The following is a 22,958-nucleotide window of genomic DNA, read 5'->3' on the forward strand; positions in this document are numbered from 1 at the left end:
TTAAAATGTTATTCTCCATATGTATCTAAGAAAGCTTTAAAGAGGAATTTTGAGCAGTTCTTGACTACTTGACTGAACATATAATCTATTATTGTATTTTATATGGAGAAACTCTCTTATTTATATGTTTATTTATTTATCTGGTTTCCAGATGCTAAAGTGTATGTTCATTATAGTACATTATAGTTCATTAAAATGTTCAAGTCTAAATTGCACTCAGCATAGTGAAACTGCTGCTATTTTTCTTAAACATTATACCTCTTCAGAACAGATTTGCAATAGGTACTGGCCCAAACTGATAACTTCCTTCCCTTCATTTTGCATAATACAGCAATTTTGGTTTCAAAATGCCACCACAATCTTAAATATTCTGACTAGCTTTGCTGAGTTTGCAGTAGCAACAATGATAATACCCATTGTAAAAACGAAATGCAGAAATAGTGACTGTCAAATCCTAACATGTTCCTTATATCCACACTTCAGTTTCCTTACCAGTATAATCTACATTCCAGTTAATAATTTAATGCTAATCAGCTCCTTATCTTCTGAAAAGGAGAGTCTGCTTTGAATCATAAGGCAGCTGACCTTGAAGGTAGGTTTAATATATGCAGATTTCTTATATCACCTCTAAGCTTTTTTTACTCAGAGCATTTTCTTGGTTACATTTAGCTCAGAGCTGTGCAATCATCATTTTGTCTATCCTAACAGTAACTGATTTAATAACGATAGTTTTTACTCTTCCTTAGTTTTGGACTTTACATTTATTTGTATAACTAGTTTTAAATAACGTAGTGTTTTAATATGCAAATAAAATAAATATAAATAGTTCAGGTAAACCATAAATACTAGAAAGAATATAGTAGCATCTTTCTAAACAAATTCTGCTATTTCACAAGGTGCTTATGTATTTCTGTCAACTTTCTTTAGATTTTACTGTCAAATGGCATTTTTTAGTAGTGATGTGATAAAGATTTAAAATTGGTTCCTTGGACTACATTTTGTGAATTGAAATTCAACATGAATTGAGAAATGAGCTATAGAATTTTATTATATATAAAACTGTAAGCAAAGCTGTATTATTATAATAAAACTATGTAAGCAAAGCTATAGAAGTTCAGTTTAAATTTTTAAAATTTTCAACAAATCGAGGACAGGAACATGTTTCAAAAATAATATCAAAATTAGAATTTTTACATGTTATAATAACTTCGGTTTAAATGTGTTAATGAGTTAATGCGATTGCATAGATCTAAACTGAACAACAAAGGAAAGAGATAAGAAAAAATAATTTTTGTTTATCTAAAAATTACACATAATCTGGGCTTTAGGAAAAAAATGTATAAAGCTCTTTGGAAATAGAATCCCATCATAAGAGGCAATTTCAAACTTCTTTGTATATACATGGTAGTGACTTGCCTTAAATATTAAAATACCCATCTTTGTTTGTTGTAATTTGTGAATTTACTTGTTTTCCCCCATCAAAATTAGGAAGAAGAAAATACAAGATTTCTATTTCAAAAGAGGAAGAATGGTTAGATTAGGACAGTGGCAGCAAGGAAATATGATTTTTTTTTAATTGAGATCCTTTTTGAGAAACAAAAGGTGGCTTTGCTTTGAATTAAAAAGTCATTTATGTTGGGTAGAGTTCTTCACTTAATGGTTTCCTGCTTACACTGAAAAATACACTGGGTTGATTTAGATTGTTATTCTTCTTCATTTAGCTTTTAGTGATCTCATTTGTGTAATCTTCATACTTGAAAAGTAGAATATGAAAACAACAAGAACTATAGATGTGCTTTGGAGATTGATATGTAGTGCTTTTGCTAGTGAAAAATAATCTCAAAGAAATAAGTTTAAAAAACAAATTTTCTTAACTCTATTTTACAGTAAAATGTTTTTATATTGTTATTAGCATTCCAAATTATTTTCATGAAAATTATTTTATGGAAATAACCCTTATTTTATTAGCTTGCTTTCTATTTTAAATCACGCTGTGTAAGAATGATTAAATCAAATATAAAGTATGGAACAATTTAAATGACTTAATGGTCTTCCAGATAAGATAGAAATGTTTCTGCTATTATCTTGAAGAATCAATAGTGGATTGGGTTGTCTTCTTTAAACATCATGCTGTTTTCACTGCTTGTTATGTTGCTCTAAAGAAATTTAAATATTTCACATGCCAGTTGCTTGGGAGAAACATTTTTCAAGACAATTAGTTGTGCTATTTAAAATTAACCTTTTATCTACAAATAATGTTGTCATTCTCTCTGGAGTGTTTGACCTAACTAGAGCTAAGATGGAACATCTTAGCCTACAAAACATGAGATTTCACTAAGTAAAAGTAATGTTTTGCTCAGTTTAGAGAACAGATACTGGAAAGCAATGTTAAGAGAGATTTTCAGTAGTTCATAGTTCATCATATATTTATATTTTTTGATACAGATTAAATTTATATATCTTTAGAAAATGTGTGCTACTTATTATAAATTACTGTTTTATGTATTGCTATGTATAAATGATGTGCTTCCCAATTTAACCTTTAGAAGTAAACTTAAAAGCACTCATAAATTTCTGTTGAATGTAGGGTTTAATAACATAGGTCTTATTTATTTAAGGATAATTTTCTTCTACTATCACTTAGGCATAAAATTAATATAGTTTTATTTTTAACTACTTAAGTTCTTAATCTAATGTAGCCTTAATGAATTTACCCATGTAAAGTACTTGATGAAGCCATCATGAAAGGCTGCTTGGCTAATATCCATCAGTCCCCTTGCTGAAAATAACTGAATTTTAATGTGAATATATATAAAAAAAACCGGTAACTGTTTCATGTATCTAAGGTTTATGCAACTTAATTTAATAATTTCATTTTTTAATTGTGCCATAGACATGTTTATTGAGTTATAAAAACACCACAATCACGAATGAATGGGAAACACAAAGAATTAGTATTAAGAGTATGCTGTTTGTTTTGATTATGATGCATAACTAAAAACCTAAAATTAACTGTAACTTAAATTGTTTCTCTGTGGCTTTTTTTTTCTTTCTCATCCACCCTCTTCATTCTCCCTTCTCCTCTTTAAATAAATAAAAATATTCTGAATGTAGCTTAACTAGTTTTAGAAGTAGAGAGGAAGATTGGTTATAAAGAGGAATGTAAATTAATTTATAAACACAAGTTATCTCAAGTTAAAATCAATATAAGAGAGCCTGTAATCTCCATGTAGCCAAAACCTGGGATTAACTAAAGTACTCAATTTCCTTTGTAGATCATACTAATTAGTTTTCAGGGTAGGCACATCTTACCAATTTTATGCACTTATCAAGAGTCATTTGGATTTGTTACCTAGTGTATGACTGCCATTTGTTCTTGTTATTTCATTTCACAATTTCGTTAAAAATTGTGCTATCTAATGCAACATGAGCATTAAAAGGCTTTTATTTTATTTTATTTTATTTTATTTTTTTGAAACAAACTCTCACTCTGTCCTCCTGGCTGGACTGCAGTGGCATGATCTTGGCTCACTGCAACCTCCACCTTCCAGGTTCAAATGATTCTCCTGCCTCAGCCTCCTGAGTAGTTGGGATTATAAGCGCATGCCACCACGCCTGTCTAGTTTTTTTGTATTTTTAGTAGAGATAGCGTTTTGCCATGTTGCTGTGGCTGGTCTCAAACTCCTGGGCTCAAGCAATCTACTTGCCTTGGCCTACCAAAGTGCTGGGATTACAGGCGTGAGCTACCGTGCCTGGCTAAAAGACTTTTTTTTTCCTCCACTATAAAAACCAAGGGAAATACTGTGGAAGTAGATAAAAGCAAATCGACTAAAGTTTAGACAATATTTTGAAAAACTAAAATTCTAGAAGGGTTCTAGAATTTTTGCTTTGGATTGCCTTATGGGTTGCTTTAACTTTTTTCTCCATTAAAAAATAAAAAACTAGAAATCAAAGGCAATGTATGAGACTTATGAAAAAAAATTTAGTAAAGAACCCCAATCAGTGCATTCTTACTCAATGAAAAGGTCTTGGTTTTACAAACAGTAGCATCCATATCCCCCTATGTAAAATAAGATGAAGTAAAGATATATCTTTTTATGACTTTCTGTTTTAATTATTTTATTTGCTTAATCAGTTGGGTAAATTATGAGTCCTAGAATTTAAGAAAAGAGGGCTTCCACTGTACTTTGTACTCTCCTTCAGAGAAAAGCTAAAGAAACCGCTTCTTTTGCTAGGCTGAGGCTGACTGAATTCCGTGGGTGTTTCTACATCTGAATATCATTACAAAGACTACCCACTTGAGGAGATATGCTTGCTATTCAAATCTACCATATCTTCTGGAAATTCTTGAGTTCTTACTCTATGAAATGAAGAAAATAACATAAACTAACATGCATGGGGCACAGGTTTCTTCTTGAATGCCAACTCTGATTAGTTGCTAATTGCTACTTGAAGATCTGTGCTTAGATCCATCTGTAGCCCCTTTCACCTTAGAGTCAAATGCCTGGATCCGGTACTGTCACCCGCGGGAACAGACTAGGGTAGAAGGATAAAACTATGACAGCATTGTTCTCCTGAGCTACAGCCACATTTCTTTTAGTGTTTTCCAGATGTATAAATGAGCTTTTCCTATCTTTTTCTTTTTTACTTTTTCTTCTGTTGGGACACTCCCGTCAGTGACATCCCTCTGTATTGGTTAGTTATTTCATAGATTAGAAAGTTTGTGGGCTCTGCACAATTCATCCCTTTGGTTCCTATAGAAAAGAAATGTTTGTTAACTCATTTAAAATAAGGACTACTTCACGCAAATAAAAACCACTTCTGTCTACTTCTCTAAAAACTGAATAACCTATGTCTAGTCTTCATTAAAGAAAGCCAAAAAAGAAAGTTTATTCCAACATATTATCTTCACAATTAAGAGTATACAGAATATGAGGGCAAGAGGACTATTCCAATGATCACTGTTTGATTTAGTGAATCTGGCTGCTAAATTGACTCTAAGCTATTTTCTTTACAGTTTGTCACATGGTTTAGAGTACTTTAAGAGGCCAGCCTTCCCGGGTGAAAAGTACAATAGTTTCTAAGACAGAGTATTCATAAGGTTTGTGGTGTTAAGAAATATTACTTTTCTGCAATCTTTAACAAATGTGGAAAAGGACATTCTGAATTTATAATGTAAATGGGGCTGGAATTCTTTCTTGGAAAATAGAATCAATAAACATATTTTCAGAAGTAAAATATATTGATTGAGAACTATTGTCTAAATATTCCCCAAACCCTAGATGTTCCTTGTCAAATATACACACAGAAGATGTACTGTGCTATATAGATGAGGATTGATGATAGGAATATGTAGATCTACACGTTAGGGATAATTTTATTTCAGTTTAATGACATCAGAATTCAAAAGAAATGAAACATTATACATGTAACAATTATTGAAATGCCTCCCATGTACTAGCAGCTGTACTGGTTCTGCCCTTGGGAAGTTTATTAGCATAGCTGGGACACAGGCCTATAAATAGATAATTAAAGAGAATATTGTTAAAGGCCATATAAGGGTTACGCCTAGGGGGCTGTCAGGATATGTCATAACTCCCCACATTTCAAATTACAAAATTTGCTTTACTCCAAAATAAAGGTAGCTTTATTGTACATTTAAGAAAACTTGAAATTGTAAAGTGTTTATGTGAAATGTTAACTTACAGACTTGATTTACCAAATTTATAGCAGTAAAGTAAGTCCCATTTTTCAGAATATGAGGTATGTGATTTCAGCTCCTTAAATGGGATACCTCACATTATTATTACAGTTTAAAACCTATGAGATTTTCTTTTCTATTTTTAATCCTTCTCTTAATGATCTCATTTATTGTCTACTGGAAATCAATTTAGGAAATCATGTTAGTCCACTAAGCACTTCAGATAAGGCTATTCCATGAAGCATTCCAAGATTATCACAAGGAATTGCTTTCATATGCCATAAAAGAAGAAATAAGCAGAATATGGCCTGCTGAAGAAGGTTACAGTTTTACAGCCCCTCCCATTGCAGCTCTTAAGTCACTCAGTTACAGTTAACTTTGGATTAGCACTCACAGATTGAAAGCAAAACACATCAAAACACTCATCACGCACTCTGGGCTTGTGGTGCCACTTGTATGTGTGTTTCTAAATCAATGATGAGGGTATCAGAACCAATACTGGACATGGACATGGCAAATTACAGTGAAGTTTTGGACCCAACTTACACAACTTTGGAGTTTGAAACTATGCAGATTCTATATAATTCAAGTGGTGAGTTATCATCTGTTTATAGATGTAAAGAAAAGTAAGTATAATTGGAGAAGGTGGAAGACTGAGCTTCCAAAGGTGGTGGCTCAATGTTTTTTTTGCTGGAGAGTTTAGGGCTTGCTTTTAAGGCCACAGATCTGAGCTTTTGCACTTCATTACAAAATTTAAGTTAATAATGCTGTGGCTATTTTGTGTTAGAGGTAGAAAAAGCCTGGTTTTGTGTAATAAAGTAATGTCAGAATTCTGTCATGGGCCAGTTAGACAGGTAAAAAGAGTAGTCTCAGCTGTTATTTTATTTGCTGTAAATCATAGTAATATGTCATATTGGCAGATTGGCTGTGAAAGTATATTTTCTAAGCAATATTTAAAATGACTTATGGAACAAAGTTTCCATAGAACATTAGGGAGTTTCACTGATTGTCTACCCTTTTCCTTATAATTCCAGTTCTCAATTGCTAGTGATGAGAAACTACATTTAAAATTACTATCAGGTTTTTGCATTGAACGCAAATATGAAAGGGAATAAGGCTTGTATTATAACCTCACCTGACAGGCTAATGTTTAGCCGCACAAAGCTGTTGGTATTTAATTACTGTAACATTTTAACTTTAAATAAGACATGAGTTTTTTAGGGGTAGTGTCTTTATGTAATACAGCTTACTATTGACTTTGAATTTAGACTTAATACCCGGTAAAAAAAATCTTGTTTAAAATATGTTATAACTGTTAGAACTCCTAAGATCGAGTAATTATGTATACTTTGGAAAATGTGTATGTGTGTGTGTGTGTGTGTGTGTGTGTGTGTTTAATGCAAGATTGAGAATATATCTTGTACTGAGGATATCTTACTATTCTACTGTATTGTATAATTTGTATGACTGGTGTTCTGGTTCTATTTTTAATAAGCAGTTCCTTATTAGTGGGGATTTTAAAAAATAGTCAAAAGGTGAATTCTGAAAATTTAGCACAACTATAGTTAAAATAAACCTGTAGTGCAACTTTCAGGAAATCACTGTTTTGTGTCCTTATGTTTAGACTTGACTAGAGATATTTAATAGAGTATTTCATCAGAATCCTGAATTTAAAAAACACTCATGATTAAGAAATGGTAGGGACATATTTGCCATAATCATAACACTTATTTACTATAAGTGTTTAACAAATGTACTGAAATAACGATTTTGTATGGCTATATCCAAAGTATGGTGTAACTTGTTTGTTTGTAATAATGTTGTCAGCAATATGTAAGTATGGCACTAAACTTGAAGCAAGAGTTGAATTTTTCATATTTCTATATAGTCTCTCAGAATACAATCAATTCCAAACAGTTCTAACTTTCATATTGTCAATATCTGTTTTGTTAATGTTACCAGAAGAAAAATGTTTAGCATTTTAATCCTATGTCACATGACTAACCCTAAGCATATTCTCATTAAAATTTTTTTCTACTTCATGAAATTATATATGACAATATTTGTCTACTCAGAAATATTAGTAAGTAGAATATATGTAAGTTACAAAATATAATCAGGACATGACAACCTTTAGTATTATCCTTTTGTTAGCTATACAATAATCAGTTGTTAATATACAATTTTATAATGAAGTTTTATTACATATATTTAATATCTTTTGAATGCATATAGATTTTTCAAGATGTAATCCACAATATTAACTCATTTAAGAAATATTCATTTTATTATAAATATCTACATTTAAAAAATAATTATTCCTTCAGAATTATGTATTAGATGACCCACTGTATCCTGGGCATAATCCTAAAAGCTGGAAAACAGAGGACTAAATAAGACAGATAAATTCTCTACCAACATGGGGCTTATATTCTGTGTGTAAAGATGGGTAATAAATGAGCAGACCAATGCAGAATATACTTTTCACTAATAAAGTTATATAAAAAACTAAGGCCATTTAAAAAGCTAAGGCCAGGTGTGGTGGCTCACACCTATAGTCCCAGCACTTTGGGAGGCTAAGGCAGGAGGATCGCTTGAGCCCAAGAGTTTAAGACCAACCTGGGCAACATAGTGAGACCTTGTCTCTACAATAAAAAAAAATAAAAACTAGCTGGATGTGGTGATGTACTCCTGTAGCCCCAACTACTCGGGAGGCTGAGGTGGGAGGATTGCTTGAGCTCAGGAGGTCCAGGTTGCAGTGAGCTAGGACTGCACCACTGCAGTCCAGCCTGGGTGACAAAGCAAGTCCCTGACTCAAAAAATAATAATAATACTTAAAATAAGCAGGGGTCTAGGTTCTACTTGAAGGACAGATGGGAGGTGACATTTTTAAATGTGTGTTCAGAGAAGGTTTCACACAAAATGTGAGACTTTAACAGAAACCTGGTAGCTAGCTCAAAGAAACGTTTAGGGAGGAACTTTCTTTCCAGACAGAAGGAACAGCAGGTGAACAAGTTCTGAGATGAGAGTAGCCTTCAATGACGACGAAAAAAAAAAAAAAAAAAAAGACGGTATTGCTGGAGAATAGTGAACTGAATGAAAAGTGGTACCAGATACTGGGATCAGAGATTTCGGGGAGTTTTACGGGGGTTTGACATGCAGGGTTTACAGGCTGTGGGAAGATGCCTAGACATTATTCTGTATCTGGTTACGACAGGGTTGGATGCAGAGGGTGACATGATATGAATTACTACAGCAATATCACTTAGGTGGCTTTGAGGTAACAAACAGTAGGGCAGCAAGAATGGAAGGAAAGAACTTAGATAGCAGGCTGTTGCCATAATCTAGAGGAAAGATGATGGTTGATTGAATAAGGATGTCCATAGTGAAAAGTTGTGAATTAAATATGTATTTCAGGCCAGGCGCAGTGGCTCACGCCTATAATTTCAGCACTTTGGGATTATAGGTGGGCAGACCGCCTGCTGAGGTGGGCAGACCGCCTGAGGTCAGGGGTTCAAGAACAGCCTGGCCAACATGGTGAAACCCCGTCTCTACTAAAAATACAAAAATAAGCCTGGCATGGTGACACACGTCTGTAATCTCAGCTACTCAGGAGGCTGAGGCATGGGAATCACTTGAACCTGGGAGGCAGAGGTTGCAGTGAGCCGAGATCGCACCACTACTCTCTAGCCTGAGCAACAGGGGGAACTCAGGCTCAAAAAATTAAGTAAATAAATAAATAAAAAGTATTGTAAACATGGACTTACCAAGGGATTGGTTATAAAAGATAAAGGAGAGAATACAATAAAGACTCACAGATTATTGGCCCTGGGAAACTGGATGGATCCATTGACTGATACAGGGGAGACTGAAGGAAGGAAGAACAAGTTCTAGGGGAAAAATGAAAGACTTTTGTTTTTGATATGTTAATTTACAATTCTGATTAGATTTCACAATGAAGTTCTTCAATAGGTGCTTGGGCATTTCATGTTGATGCCCATGGGAGACATCGGGGCTAGAGATAAAATATTGGAATTATTCATCCTACAGCTAATATTTATTGTCATGGAACTGATAAACTTCCCTTGGGAAAGAGCATAGTTGGAGAACTAAGCCCTATGGTGTCCCAAAGTTAAATGTTCAGAAATAAGAAAGGAGAGCTTAGAACGGAAGCAGCCAGCCAGGGGTTAAAAGGAAAGCACCAGTGTGGGGTCTCCAAGAAGCCAATGAATGGAGTGTTATGAGCCTATAAATAATTAGTAGGACAATTTAGTCAGGAAATAGTACTAACTCTAACTGTAATCTTCCTTTTTTATTGACAGATAGTTCTGCCCCAGAGACAAGTATGAATACCACAGACAACGGTGTCAACTGTCTGTGTGCTATCTGTGGGGACAGAGCAACAGGAAAACACTATGGGGCATCCAGCTGTGATGGGTGCAAGGGTTTCTTCAGACGCAGCATTCGTAAGAGTCACGTTTATTCTTGCAGGTACTTTAAATGCCCTTTTAGGCAAGTTATCTTTACAGATGTTTCAGTTTGGCACGCAAAAAGTAAGAGAAGAAAATTCAGAGTTTTCGTATATCTGTAAGTCTATAAATACAATCTCTAAACTGCGGTACAAGTAAGAACGTGTGGGTATGTACACAGGATGTATTCACATAGGTGTTCTTTTTTATGAAACATTTTAGACTTACAGAAGGTATATAAAAAATCCACCTACCTACCACCCAGCTTAGACCAATATAGTTGAAGCCTTTAATGGACACCTCCTCTGTCACTTTTTCTCCCTCGTCTCCTAGAGGTAACTACCATTGCCATTTCATGTTATCTTTTCCTTGTGTTTCTTTATTATTTTACCACATGTTCATATACCTCTAAACATTTTAAAATCTGCATTTAAAAGGTTTTTTAATAAGAGTATTTTTCTTCATGTTTATTTTTTAAGTGCCATTACATCCTAGGTCTAAAAACAAAATTATGAAAGTGCAGATGATTTTGGTAGTTTGTTGATATCAATGAGTGAAATTTAATTTTCAGTCCTAAAATTTAGAATGTATTTCTCATGCCATATTTTTTGTCATTAAATTTAAATGTTTTGTCAGAAGCTTATTTAACTATATTATATTTGTCACGCATTTCCAGTAGGCTGTTTTCTTGGGTTTTTTTTTTTTGATTAATACCTAGTCAACATCATAACACGATTTAAGTATACATATTGCATCTTGATTCATCTGTATGACTGTCCTTGAATGCAGATTACATTTAGATTGAATATAGGCTATTAACAAAAATGGTTAAATTTAACATAAAAATAACTATGTTGGTTCTGTCAATAAAAGGTACGTGTAGAATTATGTTCTTTTAAGAACAGATTGGACATTTGGGAAGAGGTTAACTTTCTCAAAGTCTTGCCATGTGATTTCCTAGGGTGCAATACAAGTTAATATATAACTCCCCAAATATCTGTCTAGTTCTCTGGTAATTCTTTAGTAATTTTTCCAAGATAGTTTGAAGCAGGTTAAGAGAAATATAAATTGCCCACTTTAAAAACTTTCTAGGTAAACAAAAAAAAGTGTATTTAGATAAGTTTTGCCTTTATTTACATTAAAACTCTAAAGGTAAAAGGTAGATCAATGTCCTTCATTCCCTCATCAAAAATAGTTTTGTATGAATGTTTCTAAACTAAAACAAATACAGAATAACCTGTAAACCATACCTTCTGGAGTCAGGTGCTCTGTTAAAATTGAATGTGTGTGTGTGTGTGTGTGTGTGTGTGTGTGTAAAATGATGATCCAAACAACTAAATCCTACAACTTGTGAGAATCAGAGAATCACAAAGGCTATGAGGACTTCTGTCCTTTCTTTATGGGAAGAGTGGAAAAGGGATGCTCTCAGAGCAGCTTTTAGAGGTTTAAAAAATATTCTAACAACAGATAGAGTTTAACTCCTGCACCTTCCTATTAAGAATGCTACTGCCAACCTAGCTTTCTTTACATATTTTAGTATTCAGCAAATGTTATGATTTTTCATTTGGAAAATGGTTAGTATATTGATGGAAGTTTAAGGGCATGGAGACTTTTTGAAGCTCAGGTTGTGCTGGTCTCAAATGTATCTATTTCCTTAGATTACAAAGTTCCATTTCTACTGTAACTGCTCCATCAAACTGAGGTTGGGATTTCCTTCAAAAGCACTTTTAATTGCTGTTTCAATACTTTTCATGTTATGTTTTTCACATTATGTACAATTTGTATGTGTACTCTATTAGATTATAATTTCCTTGAGTGGAGGAAACAAGTAGCATTAATCTGTTTAATCCCTACACCAGGATCTTGTATGTTGTAGGTGCTTAATAATATGTGTATTCAATTTTTGTTATTAATTTAATGTTAATTGAATGCATTCTCCTTGTGTTTTTGTCAATCTGGTCCTCTCTCCTGAGTCTCATCAGCCATTTGTTCCCAAATGGGCAATGCCTTGTTCTCACTCTGAAAGCACATTTCTCTTCCAGCTCAATTTGTTGATGATAGGCTTTGCTTCTCATTCAATTTTAAGTGGACACCGATAGTTTTTAGAAGAAGTACATTTTATAGGTCACAAAATATATGTCTTTATTCTTATCATTAATCATCAACTATAAATAAACAGGTACATATCAATATGTATGGATAATTTTTGCCAGAATTTTGAAGAAATGTTAGCGTTTACTGTATGCTTAATATTTGCCCCCAACTATTTGAAGTGCATTCACACAACAACCTTTTGTGCAAGTCCTTCTCTTTATTTTACAATTGTAAATTAATGTTACTTAACACCCCCAAGTTCTGCTGAGAGTCAATGGTGGAATCAAGCTTAGATTTAATTTCAGAGACTGTACTCTTTTTTATGTGTTTGTTTGTTTGTTTGGTTAAGTATACAAGTCAGTTTTTTAGTGTATCCACAGAGTGGTGCAACAATCACTACAGTCAAATTTGACCATTTTCATCACCTTATAAAGAAACCTTTAGTAGTTACTCCCCCATTTCCTCCCAACTCCCTCCCCAACAATATGAGGCAACTATGAATCTATTTTCTGTTTCTACAGATTTGCCTTTTCAGGACATTTTGTATAAACAAAATCATACGATATATGATCTCTTGTGACTTACTTCTTTTGTTTAGAATAGAATAGGCTGCCAAGGTTTATCCCTGTTATAGCATTTATCAGTACTTCATTCTTATTTACTGACAAATAATAAAATTCCACTGTGCAGTCATGCCACATTTTGTTTTTCTATTATCAGTTGATAGGCATTTGGATATATCTCCACTTTTGGGCTATGATGAATAATGCTGCTGTGTACATTTATGAAGAAGTTTTTATGTGTACATATGTTTCATTTCTCTGCATACAGACCTAGCATGGCATCGCTGGGTTATACTATAACTTTATGTTTAGCTTTTTAAGACAGTGCTAAACTGTCTTCCAAAGCAGCTGCATCATTTAACATTTTAACCAGCAGTGTATGAGGGCTCCAATTTTTCCACATCCTCACCAACATTTGTTTTTTCTTTATTTTGTTTACCTGTGTGTAAAGTCTTACCCCATGATGCCAACTGTACTCTCAATGTTGTCCTCAATGACCTCTTAATAGATAATTTGCCATTTAGGGTAAACTTCAGTGGGCTGTGGGGTACACTTAAAATTAATAGAAGAATATTTGAAAAGAGAAAAGCATGAAAATACAGGGCCATGAAGTTCTGACAATAGCCTCCTTCATACTGAAATCATTTAGCAATAAGCAACAAAAACTTGAATGCCAAAGATATTCAAAACTAGGTTTGGCTTTCATGACTCATGATAAAAGTGGTTATGCACAGCAGCCAAAATGAAGATAGTCATTCAGTTTTATTTTACTATAAAGACTAAGTGAGAGGTGAGGCTCGCGTTTTCACGCACATGCTGATTGAGAGACTGGAAAGGTCATAGCTGATTGTTCCTATACCTTCTTTTTATCGAACCGAATTTGACAATACATATTTAAAATCCATTTGTCTGTTTATTTGCTTCTTTTGTAAATTATAGTTTTCTGCAAACTGATATATCTTTATGTTATAGGTTCAGTCGGCAATGTGTTGTTGACAAGGACAAAAGGAATCAATGTAGATATTGTCGATTAAGAAAGTGTTTTAGAGCGGGAATGAAAAAAGAAGGTAATAATAATGATGATGATAATTAACATTATTGATGAAAAGTGATAAACATACACACACATTCTCATTGATTAGTATAACTTTTTACATGAGTTCTAATTTTCCTCAATATAATAAGGAGGAATCTATGATTCCTCAAGTTAAAGAATTTAGCCCAAGGACATCCAGTTATTGAGTGGTATAGCCAGTATTTATCTGGTGACTACCTGATTATGGATATCATTCTCTCCACCATTACATTGTCCAAGGCAACAAAATTATTGACTAAATGGTATACCAATATTCTGTTAGTGGGTTGAAATTACAGATTTTTTTTTTTTTTTTTGAGATGGAGTCTCGCTCTGTCAACCAGGCTGGAGTGCAGAGTGGCATGATCATGGCTCACTGCAACCTACCAGGTTCAAGCAATTCTCCTGCCTCAGCCTCTCCAGTAGCTGGGACTACAGGTGCGCATCATCACGCCTGGCTAATTTTTGTATTTTTAGTAGAACCAGAGTTTCACCATGTTAGCCAGGCTGGTCTTGAACTCCTGACCTCAAGTAATCCACCCCTCTCAGCCTCCCAAAGGGCTGGGATTACAGGCTTGAGCCACCACACCTGACACAAATGTATTTTTTGTTGTTGTTGTTCTCAATAACAACTGAATATCTTTTTTCTTTTGATGAACATTGAATGAACATCTACTTTTCATGCATTCATTTATTTACTAAATACTTGTTGAACACTGCAATTTTCCAAACACTGTTCTAGGTGCTAAAGCTTCAATAGTGAACATAGCAGACAAAATAATCTTCCCTTTCAGGAAGCTTGTATTATATCGAGGGACCGAGACAAGAGACTAGATGTGCTATTTTAGTGTGTACTAATTTCATCTTGAATATATTAAGTAATCTGATTATATTCTCCTACATTTTAAATATGATTAATTTAGAAACAAATGTATTGAACACATTGTAAACATGTGACAGTGTGTAACAGCTACAAAATTTTATACTTGTCAGTTTTGCTGTTTGGTCATGCCTATCATATACAAAGAGATGTTTTTCACAACTATTTCACAAACTAAAATAATCAAATGAAACCACTATACTAAAGAAGTGTAAAATATATGAAGCCCATCTTTAACATAGTTAGATTTTTCTTTGCCATTCAATATTTTAAGGATACAGAAATACCATTAGTTTTGCTCAGGTTGGTAGTGTCGAAGACAACAAAAAATAAAGTTCACAAAATTAAAGGAGAAGCACTTTCTCATTTAAAAAGTGATTTATTTCTAATTTCATAGGAAGCTCTATTTGGCAGTTTATGGAACTAATTACACACTTGGTCAATTGCCTTCCTCCATTTTTACTTGAACTCCATGTTTATCCCCACAAAAGTGTAAGCAAATAACAATCCTATGTTTCCTTTATGAGTTTTACAATTTGTGAAATACAATTATGTTTTAAAATAGGTAAATTTTATCTTTTGTTCATAAAAGAATGTGTTATTTTCTTAAATAAACTGGAAAGTAATTTCAAGTTTTAAAGTTGATATATTTCTCTTTTTTACACTAACAGCATAGTAGCAAGATTAATTAGATGGAAACAAATAGAAGCATAGTTTTATGTCAAAAATGATAGCACTGAGATTATAAATGTTTACAATATCTTTTAGCATTTTTCTAAAGAATAATCATGTAAGTGAAATTCATAAACGCTTAGCTAACATCTTAATTTTTTATCTCTGCATATGCATTTCCAAATAAGTCAGTTTAGGTTAAAAATCAATAACAATTTCTGTAAAACAAAAAGAGCAAGCTACCAGTAAGTATGATTTTAAAATAAAATATTACTGATTCACTCCAACTTACAAAAACTCACTCTTTCTTTTTTTTTTTTTTCACAAAGAAGTTTCTCAGAATGCTTCTGGGTAGTTGTTTTTTTTTAATTATTATTATTATTATACTTTAAGTTTTAGGGTACATGTGCACAACATGCAGGCTAGTTACATATGTATACATGTGCCATGCTGGTGTGCTGCACCCATTAACTCATCATTTAGCATTAGGTATATCTCCTAATGCTATCCCTCCCCTCTCCCCCTACCCCACAACAGTCCCCAGAGTGTGATGTTCCCCTTCCTATGTCCATGTGTTCTCATTGTTCAATTCCCATCTATGAGTGAGAACATGTGATGTTTGGTTTTTTGTCCTTGTGATAGTTTACTGAGAATGATGATTTCCAATTTCATCCATGTCCCTACAAAGGACATGAACTCATCATTTTTTATGGCTGCATAGTATTCCATGGTGTATATGTGCCACATTTACTATGACAAACCCACAGACAACTCACTCTTTCTTAAAAGCAAAAAGTCCTGTAATTCCTCCTTTAACTTAATGGAGTGGATATTTAATAGTAAGTTTTAGGTCTCTAGAAATTGGTGGATTTCTTTAACAAAAGCATACTTGCAGAAAAAAAATGATATTTTAATGCCTTGTTGCTCCAGCAGAACAAATTACAGCCTTAACCGAAATAATTTAGGGGCTACATTCCTTGTTTCCCTTCTCTTTGGTTAATGAAAGATAATTTCACCTCTAAAGTTTTGAAATTCAACTTTGATATCTATTTTATTCTCTCTCTCTCTCTTTTTTTTTAATTTTATTTTGAGATGGAGTCTCACTCTGTCACTCAGGCTGGTGTGCAGTGGTGCGATCTTGGCTCACTCTGACCTTCGCCTCTTGGGTTCAAGTGATTCTCCTGCCTCAGCCTCCCAAGTAGCTGGGACTACAAGCGTGTGCCACCACGCCTGGCTAATTTTTGTATTTTTAGTAGAGACGAGGTTTCACCATGTTGGCCAGGTTGGTCTCGTACTTTTGACCTCAGCCTCGCAAAGTGCTGGGATTACAGACTTGAACCACACTTGGCCTGATTTTATTCTCTCTCTGGTAAACATGTGAGTTAATATTTTCCCTGTCACTCTTCCTTATATTTAAAAATGCAGTTTTCAGTAAGGGATTTGGGGAATTACATTACTCTTTTTTTTTTTTTAACCCTGAAGTAAAGAAGCAGATCTAGCTTTCTCTTAGAAACCTGTATAATATATAGGATTTCTTCATCTTTCCAAAATGCTGATATTCAAACCTCAATTTTCTCAGGAGAGACTGCTCCATGGTACATCTTTTGCTTTATTAATGTTGGTAAACTGTCCCATGGACAGTGTTTTATAAGAGATCATAATATTGCAATCCTAAAATCATCATAACTAAGTTTACTTTCCATTTTTGCTCGTGTTTTATAGAGAAAAGAAAATGGAAGTTTCAAAATCTATGACTCATATTTTCTGATAGTGAATACACTCTTATCTTTGACCTGGTCAATCTTATAGGCAATGCTCTTCCTCTAGTTATCTTATAGTTTTATTAACTTTGAGAGAATAGAAAACCACCCTATTAAAAATACAGCGTGGCGGAACTGGCTGACCCAACACTTTCTAACATGCATGCTGTCATGAAGTCTCAAACAGCATTGTTTTATGAGCTCTAGTGACAAACCTGACTATTGCTATTTTTGAAAGTAGTGGAGAATGAAAATATCTTTCTTCCAAGGTCTTTTAGAAAGACTTTTTCTCACTTTTTTTACTTAAAAAAAAAACTCCTTAAAATCTATATTCTAACATACACTAAAGAGAAGTGCTCAATAAATACTGTGTTTTTTCCCCCTAGCTGTACAAAATGAACGTGACAGAATAAGCACCAGAAGAAGCACATTTGATGGCAGCAACATCCCCTCCATTAACACACTGGCACAAGCTGAAGTTCGGTCTCGCCAGGTACCTGTGGCACGGCAGCATCAAACCCTATTTAATAAAATCAAATGTCCATGTAGGCATCATGCTAAAATAATCTAAGTTTTTTCAAAGGTGCTCATTACTAAAATAAGTTACATCTACACACAATTAAGAGTTTTACTTTGAAAGTTTGAGTGGGACTGCTGACTTAATTTTGACTGTTCTTGAACAAGACTAGTTTTAAATGGAAAAATAAAACAAATTTCAGTCTAAGATTGTTTTTTAAAAAGTTTGCTTATAAGTTTGATTAAAAATAATGAATAGCACAAAGCTCTGTAGGCAGTATTTTATTTTATTGATGGAATCTGTACAACCAGCTACCACAACTTTTGGGGAGTTTGGTTGATATTTGTTATCAGAGCTTCTTTCCTTGAAAATGACTTCTGGATCTTTGGGAACTGCTTTGGAAGCAGACATTTAAATGAAGAGTCAGAATTCAGAAAACACAGAAGAGAGAAAACTTTATTATTTTAAATTTCTCAAATAACAGTTCTACAGTTAAAAAAATAAGTCATTAGTTATATACATAAAAATAAATTATTTAGTGTTGTATAAAGAAATCCTTAAATCAAACTTACTTTAGCATTGCCCTTATTAGAAATGTTAATATTATTTTTCTATTATAAAGCAGATTATAAAATTGCCAAGTAGTTAATCAGGTCCTATAATGAGTCAGTGCAACTACTTTCATTTTTGATAACACAAGGGTAATATGATGAGGTTAACATCACCGTTATCATTATTACTTGAAGATTGCTTGATGGGCAATAAAGCTTTTAGAGAATGACCTAAAGGGGAGCTATGAGAAAATATTCAAATACAGATAAAGATACACTCACACGCATGTTCAAAAATAAGTTTATAAAAACTTTTAGACTGTGTTTTCTTTCAGCAGAAAAGCTTTATTACTTATATTTTTATATAGTCTAAAATTACAAATTTACAAATTTACAAATCTTACAAATTTATTATATGTTAAGCTCTTCAACATTGCTGAGTCACACATTGGTTTTTTAATTTAATTTTGATGGGCTTCCTTTTAATGCAGCGAGACAAATAGTTCTTGCTTCTTGTCTCCCCAACTGGGTAAACGTTATGAAAACATTTTCTTCATAAACTTCCACAAATTAAAGAAAATATCACCTTTAATTCAAAATAAAATCAAAGAGCATATTACATATGGATACTATCTATCTATTTTTATAGCCATTTTGAATTGTGAAATTCCTCAAAAGTTGGGGTAAAACTTAGTGTACAGATTTGACCACTAACATAAGATACTGTTCCCAGAGGATGGTGCTATATATATGAAATGTTTTTAAATTAACTTGTAAACTTATAGGTATTTTATTTTTCAATTTAAATCAGTATTTCATTTTTCAATTTAAAATGTTTAGTATTTGTCAAGATACTGTAACAACAATAGTGCCTACTTCTATGGCCTTTACTTATCATAGTCAAAAGAAAAAAAGGGGAATGTTGGCCATCTATTATTTTAAATGATAATATAATGCTTTTCTTAATACTAGATCTCAGTCTCAAGCCCTGGGTCAAGCACTGACATAAACGTTAAGAAAATTGCAAGTATTGGTGATGTCTGTGAATCTATGAAACAGCAGCTCTTAGTCTTGGTGGAATGGGCTAAATATATTCCTGCCTTCTGTGAATTACCATTGGATGATCAGGTACACATTTAAAACTTTATAAATGCTTTAAAAATGCTTCTTGAACTTTGCTAAGTTTATGTTCTTTCCATATTATTTGTAATGCATATTCTATATTACTGTATTTGGCAAAAGATAAATTAGGAGGAAGGATTGGGTTTCCTTACCCATTCACCTTGTTCTATCAAGAGGCACAACTGTTTGACTTCTATTTTAGGGGTGTAGCAAATTTATTGATTGGACAAGAACTGAACAAAACACTCCTCTGCCCTTTTGGAATTTTAAAAGGGTCATGTGAGGGAGAAAGGTAGATAGCATGTAACTATCATTGTGAGACAAAGTATTAGAAGAGTGAATGTCTGTGAAGCAAATGGTGGATGTTGTGTATTGGCGTTTACTGAAGCTGCTATATAAAACTCCTCAGAAATACCAGGTCACTCCTAGACAGAAACCACACAGGTTGTGGTGTTGTCTTGGTGGGTACTTCATGCAATTAACATAAAGTTTTACCTTTCATGCTGTCAATTTTATTCTAGAATTTATTGTATAAAAGTTACATGTCTGGCAAAAAGAAAAACATCTGTAGAAACATGATCAGAAATTTATAGAGAAATAAAATTTACACAACAAAAGATAGAGTGATCTTTTACTAATACTTCTATTTTCATATTTTGTCATATGCCCATTAGGATATTTTAATAAATACTTAGGAACTTGAATTTCCTAATTGTACTATAAAGATAAGTATTTTGGTTTCAGATTCATTTTGAACCGTTCTTACTAAGTAGGGTATAATTTTTTGTAGATGAAAATAATTGGAAAAATTCCCTTTCTCTCACCTTAAATTAACCATGGTAAGTGTTATAACCAGTGTATATTTATTTTTAAGAGAGCGTTTCACCTGGTGACAGGAAAAAAAAATACAGTGAAATCTGAAATAATTCTTAAAATGCTCTGTAACTGCCTTCCTGGTGTGAGTCACGAATATTGACATACCATAAAGATAGCATGGCTCAGAAGGTTATGCCAGTGAATAACGCTAAATTGCTAAAACCTACCAGTCTCACCCCAAGCAATATAAGTAGGGTTACGTTATTTATCAGTTTTATATTTTTATTATCATTCTTCTTTAGAAGTTGCTGACTTATATATTCAGTGATTTAAAAATTGGGAAATTAAAATCCAGTAACCAGTGAAAAACAGTTTTAATTTGCCAACTGATTCTTTAATATTAACAGTATAACATTTATTAATTAGCCACAAATTAGTAAATGTCTGTTATGAATAAGGCATGGGAAATTAGCTTTCAGTTGCACTATAAATTACATCATTTCATTTAATTCTCTCAGGAGCTCGGTGACAGGTGTTATTATCTCCATTTTACAGTTTCTAAAACTGAACCCTAGATCAGTAAAATTCATTCAATAAATTCATCAAATGAATATTTATTAGGAGATTACTGTTCAGTTTTAGGAACTGTGGGTATTTAGCAGTAAAAATACAGATTTCTTCACTATTCTCATAAATGTACACTCTATTTGAGAAAGGTGGATAACTTAAAAAATGCAAAAATTATGAGAAAGTTCATTCCAAGTGGAGATAAGCTCTATAAAATGCTATAAAATGGAATAGGATGAGTTGTTGGAGAATGGGGATAAAATGAGAAGAGATACTTTAAACTGAGGACCAGAGAAGTTATTGCCTGAGACCCTGAAAGACAAGGGGCCAAGCCCAGGAGAATCTGAGAAGAAAGCACTCCAGATACAGGAACAGCATGTCCAAGGTTCTGAGTCAGGCAGCAACAATGTGAACAAGGGGTGTTGCAAGATGAAGTCAGAGACATGAGGGCTGGGAGGCAAAGCACTGACCCCTCTCACGCCTCCCATCACCTGTGAGGCCATGTTTGACGAGTTTGGATTTCAGTCTAGGGACAATAAGAAACCATTCAAAGAGTTTTCAGCCTGGACTAGGGTGGTAGCAATGGAGATGAAAAGAAGTGGATCACTTTGGCTTGTATTTTGAGAAGCAGCACTAGAATTTACTGCAGAGTTAGAGAGGACTCAAAATAGTCTCTTGTTTTGATGTGAACAAGCACTTTGGATTACGGTGTCATTTACTAGATGAAGATAATGGGGAAGTGTTACATTGGTAGGTGTTAAATTTGTAATGCTTCCTATACTTCCTAGTGGTGATGCCCAGCAGGTAATTGAGTGTACGAATGAAGCTCAGTTGAGAGCTTACTGAGAAGAATAATCTAGAAAGCGGCAGAACCCAGACCTCCCATCTTTTCCTTACAAGAAGTCTTTGCTTTGCTTTTGTTTATTTAGTTTATTACGTGCAGGAGATTATGTTTTATATATGTTTTATCGTTTAGTACTCATGAGTACATGATGAGATTTTTTTTATCTCTACTCCCATTTTGTAGATGAAAACAAATGAGTAAGTTCAAACGTACTGGTTAACTTACACAAGGTTAAACAGGTAGTAAGTGGCCGTGCTGGGATTTGAACTCTGGTCTGATTCTGTTTCCCTTGCAAACAGTTAACTTGTCTGCTTTTTTTTTTTTTCTTTCTGCTGCCATTGTATTGATTTGCTAGATAGTTTTAAAATTTTTGAAAAGTAAGTTCTATTGACATGCTATGATAGAAAACTGGAAGGCTTAATGATGGCATGTATCTATGAATACTATAGTTTGTTAAACAAAAAGTCCCAGGCTTAAAGAACACTCTAAGTTAACAAGACTCATGTCATCTTTTAATCATTATATATTATAATTAATTGTTAAACTGAGAATTTTTCATTAAGGTGGCACTGTTGAGAGCTCACGCAGGGGAGCACTTACTGCTTGGAGCTACAAAGAGATCCATGATGTATAAAGATATTTTGCTTTTGGGTAAGTTTTTTTTTTTTAATTTAAGAAGAAATTATGCATATTTTATTCTTGCAATATTATACAGGGTCTGTTCTGTATGTACCAAGTATTTACAGACACTGGCAAATGGTGCTGTCACTTCACAGGTTTAATTTAATTGTGTCCTCACTTGGCCTTATTTTTCCTTGCCTTGACTGTATGTAAGTTCAGAGTCCATGAGACAATCAGGGAGCATTAAGATTTAAAAATAAAAAAGAGATGTTGCTCAATAAACATAATATTGAGGTATGTTCAAATTATATCAGAATGAATAATTAGTAAATTATATGGCTGCCTTATGGAGTCTCAATGTGTTTTCATATTTCCTCAGAGTCTGCTTTTTATTTTACACACTTTAAAAAAACATGTTTACGTCCTATGATCTTATTGCCCATGATAGCCCACGATATGCTACAAAATGATCAAGTAAAAAAGTATTGGTGGTAATGACTGAACAATTTCGATAGACAGGAATGCTAGAAGAGGCTAAGGAAGGATAATAGGTGTGGGGTGGTGGGGTAGAGAAGACATAAAGAAAAGACATTTGTCTTCATTAATTGCTCCAATCCCGCTACCTTACTTAACTTAAACAGTTAGGTTTTGAGGGTTGAGATCCTTCTGACACTTACTAGCTCTACCTCTCTCTGGCATGTGTGAA

The 22,958-nt window shown here is 33.5% G+C and overlaps 1 protein-coding gene across 9 annotated transcripts in view; it reads left to right on the forward strand.

Moving 5' to 3' along the window:
* Positions 1 to 22,958, forward strand: part of HNF4G (hepatocyte nuclear factor 4 gamma) — a 159,186-nt gene that overhangs the window by 126,139 nt on the left and 10,089 nt on the right. For 8 of the 9 annotated variants that reach the window (XM_017013373.2, NM_001330561.2, XM_017013374.2 and 5 more), the window contains 5 exons: positions 10,024 to 10,192; positions 13,800 to 13,894; positions 17,601 to 17,707; positions 19,255 to 19,410; positions 22,195 to 22,282. In XM_017013373.2, the coding sequence (XP_016868862.1) occupies positions 10,047 to 10,192; positions 13,800 to 13,894; positions 17,601 to 17,707; positions 19,255 to 19,410; positions 22,195 to 22,282 (592 nt within the window). In that variant the 5' untranslated portion in view covers positions 10,024 to 10,046. Of the gene's footprint in view, positions 1 to 6,081; positions 6,294 to 10,023; positions 10,193 to 13,799; positions 13,895 to 17,600; positions 17,708 to 19,254; positions 19,411 to 22,194; positions 22,283 to 22,958 lie in introns of those variants that run through there. The other variant, NM_004133.5, reaches the window with a different exon arrangement.

Source organism: Homo sapiens, chromosome 8 (assembly GCF_000001405.40).
Source record: "Homo sapiens chromosome 8, GRCh38.p14 Primary Assembly".
In the NCBI taxonomy this organism is placed as follows: Eukaryota; Metazoa; Chordata; class Mammalia; order Primates; family Hominidae; genus Homo; species Homo sapiens.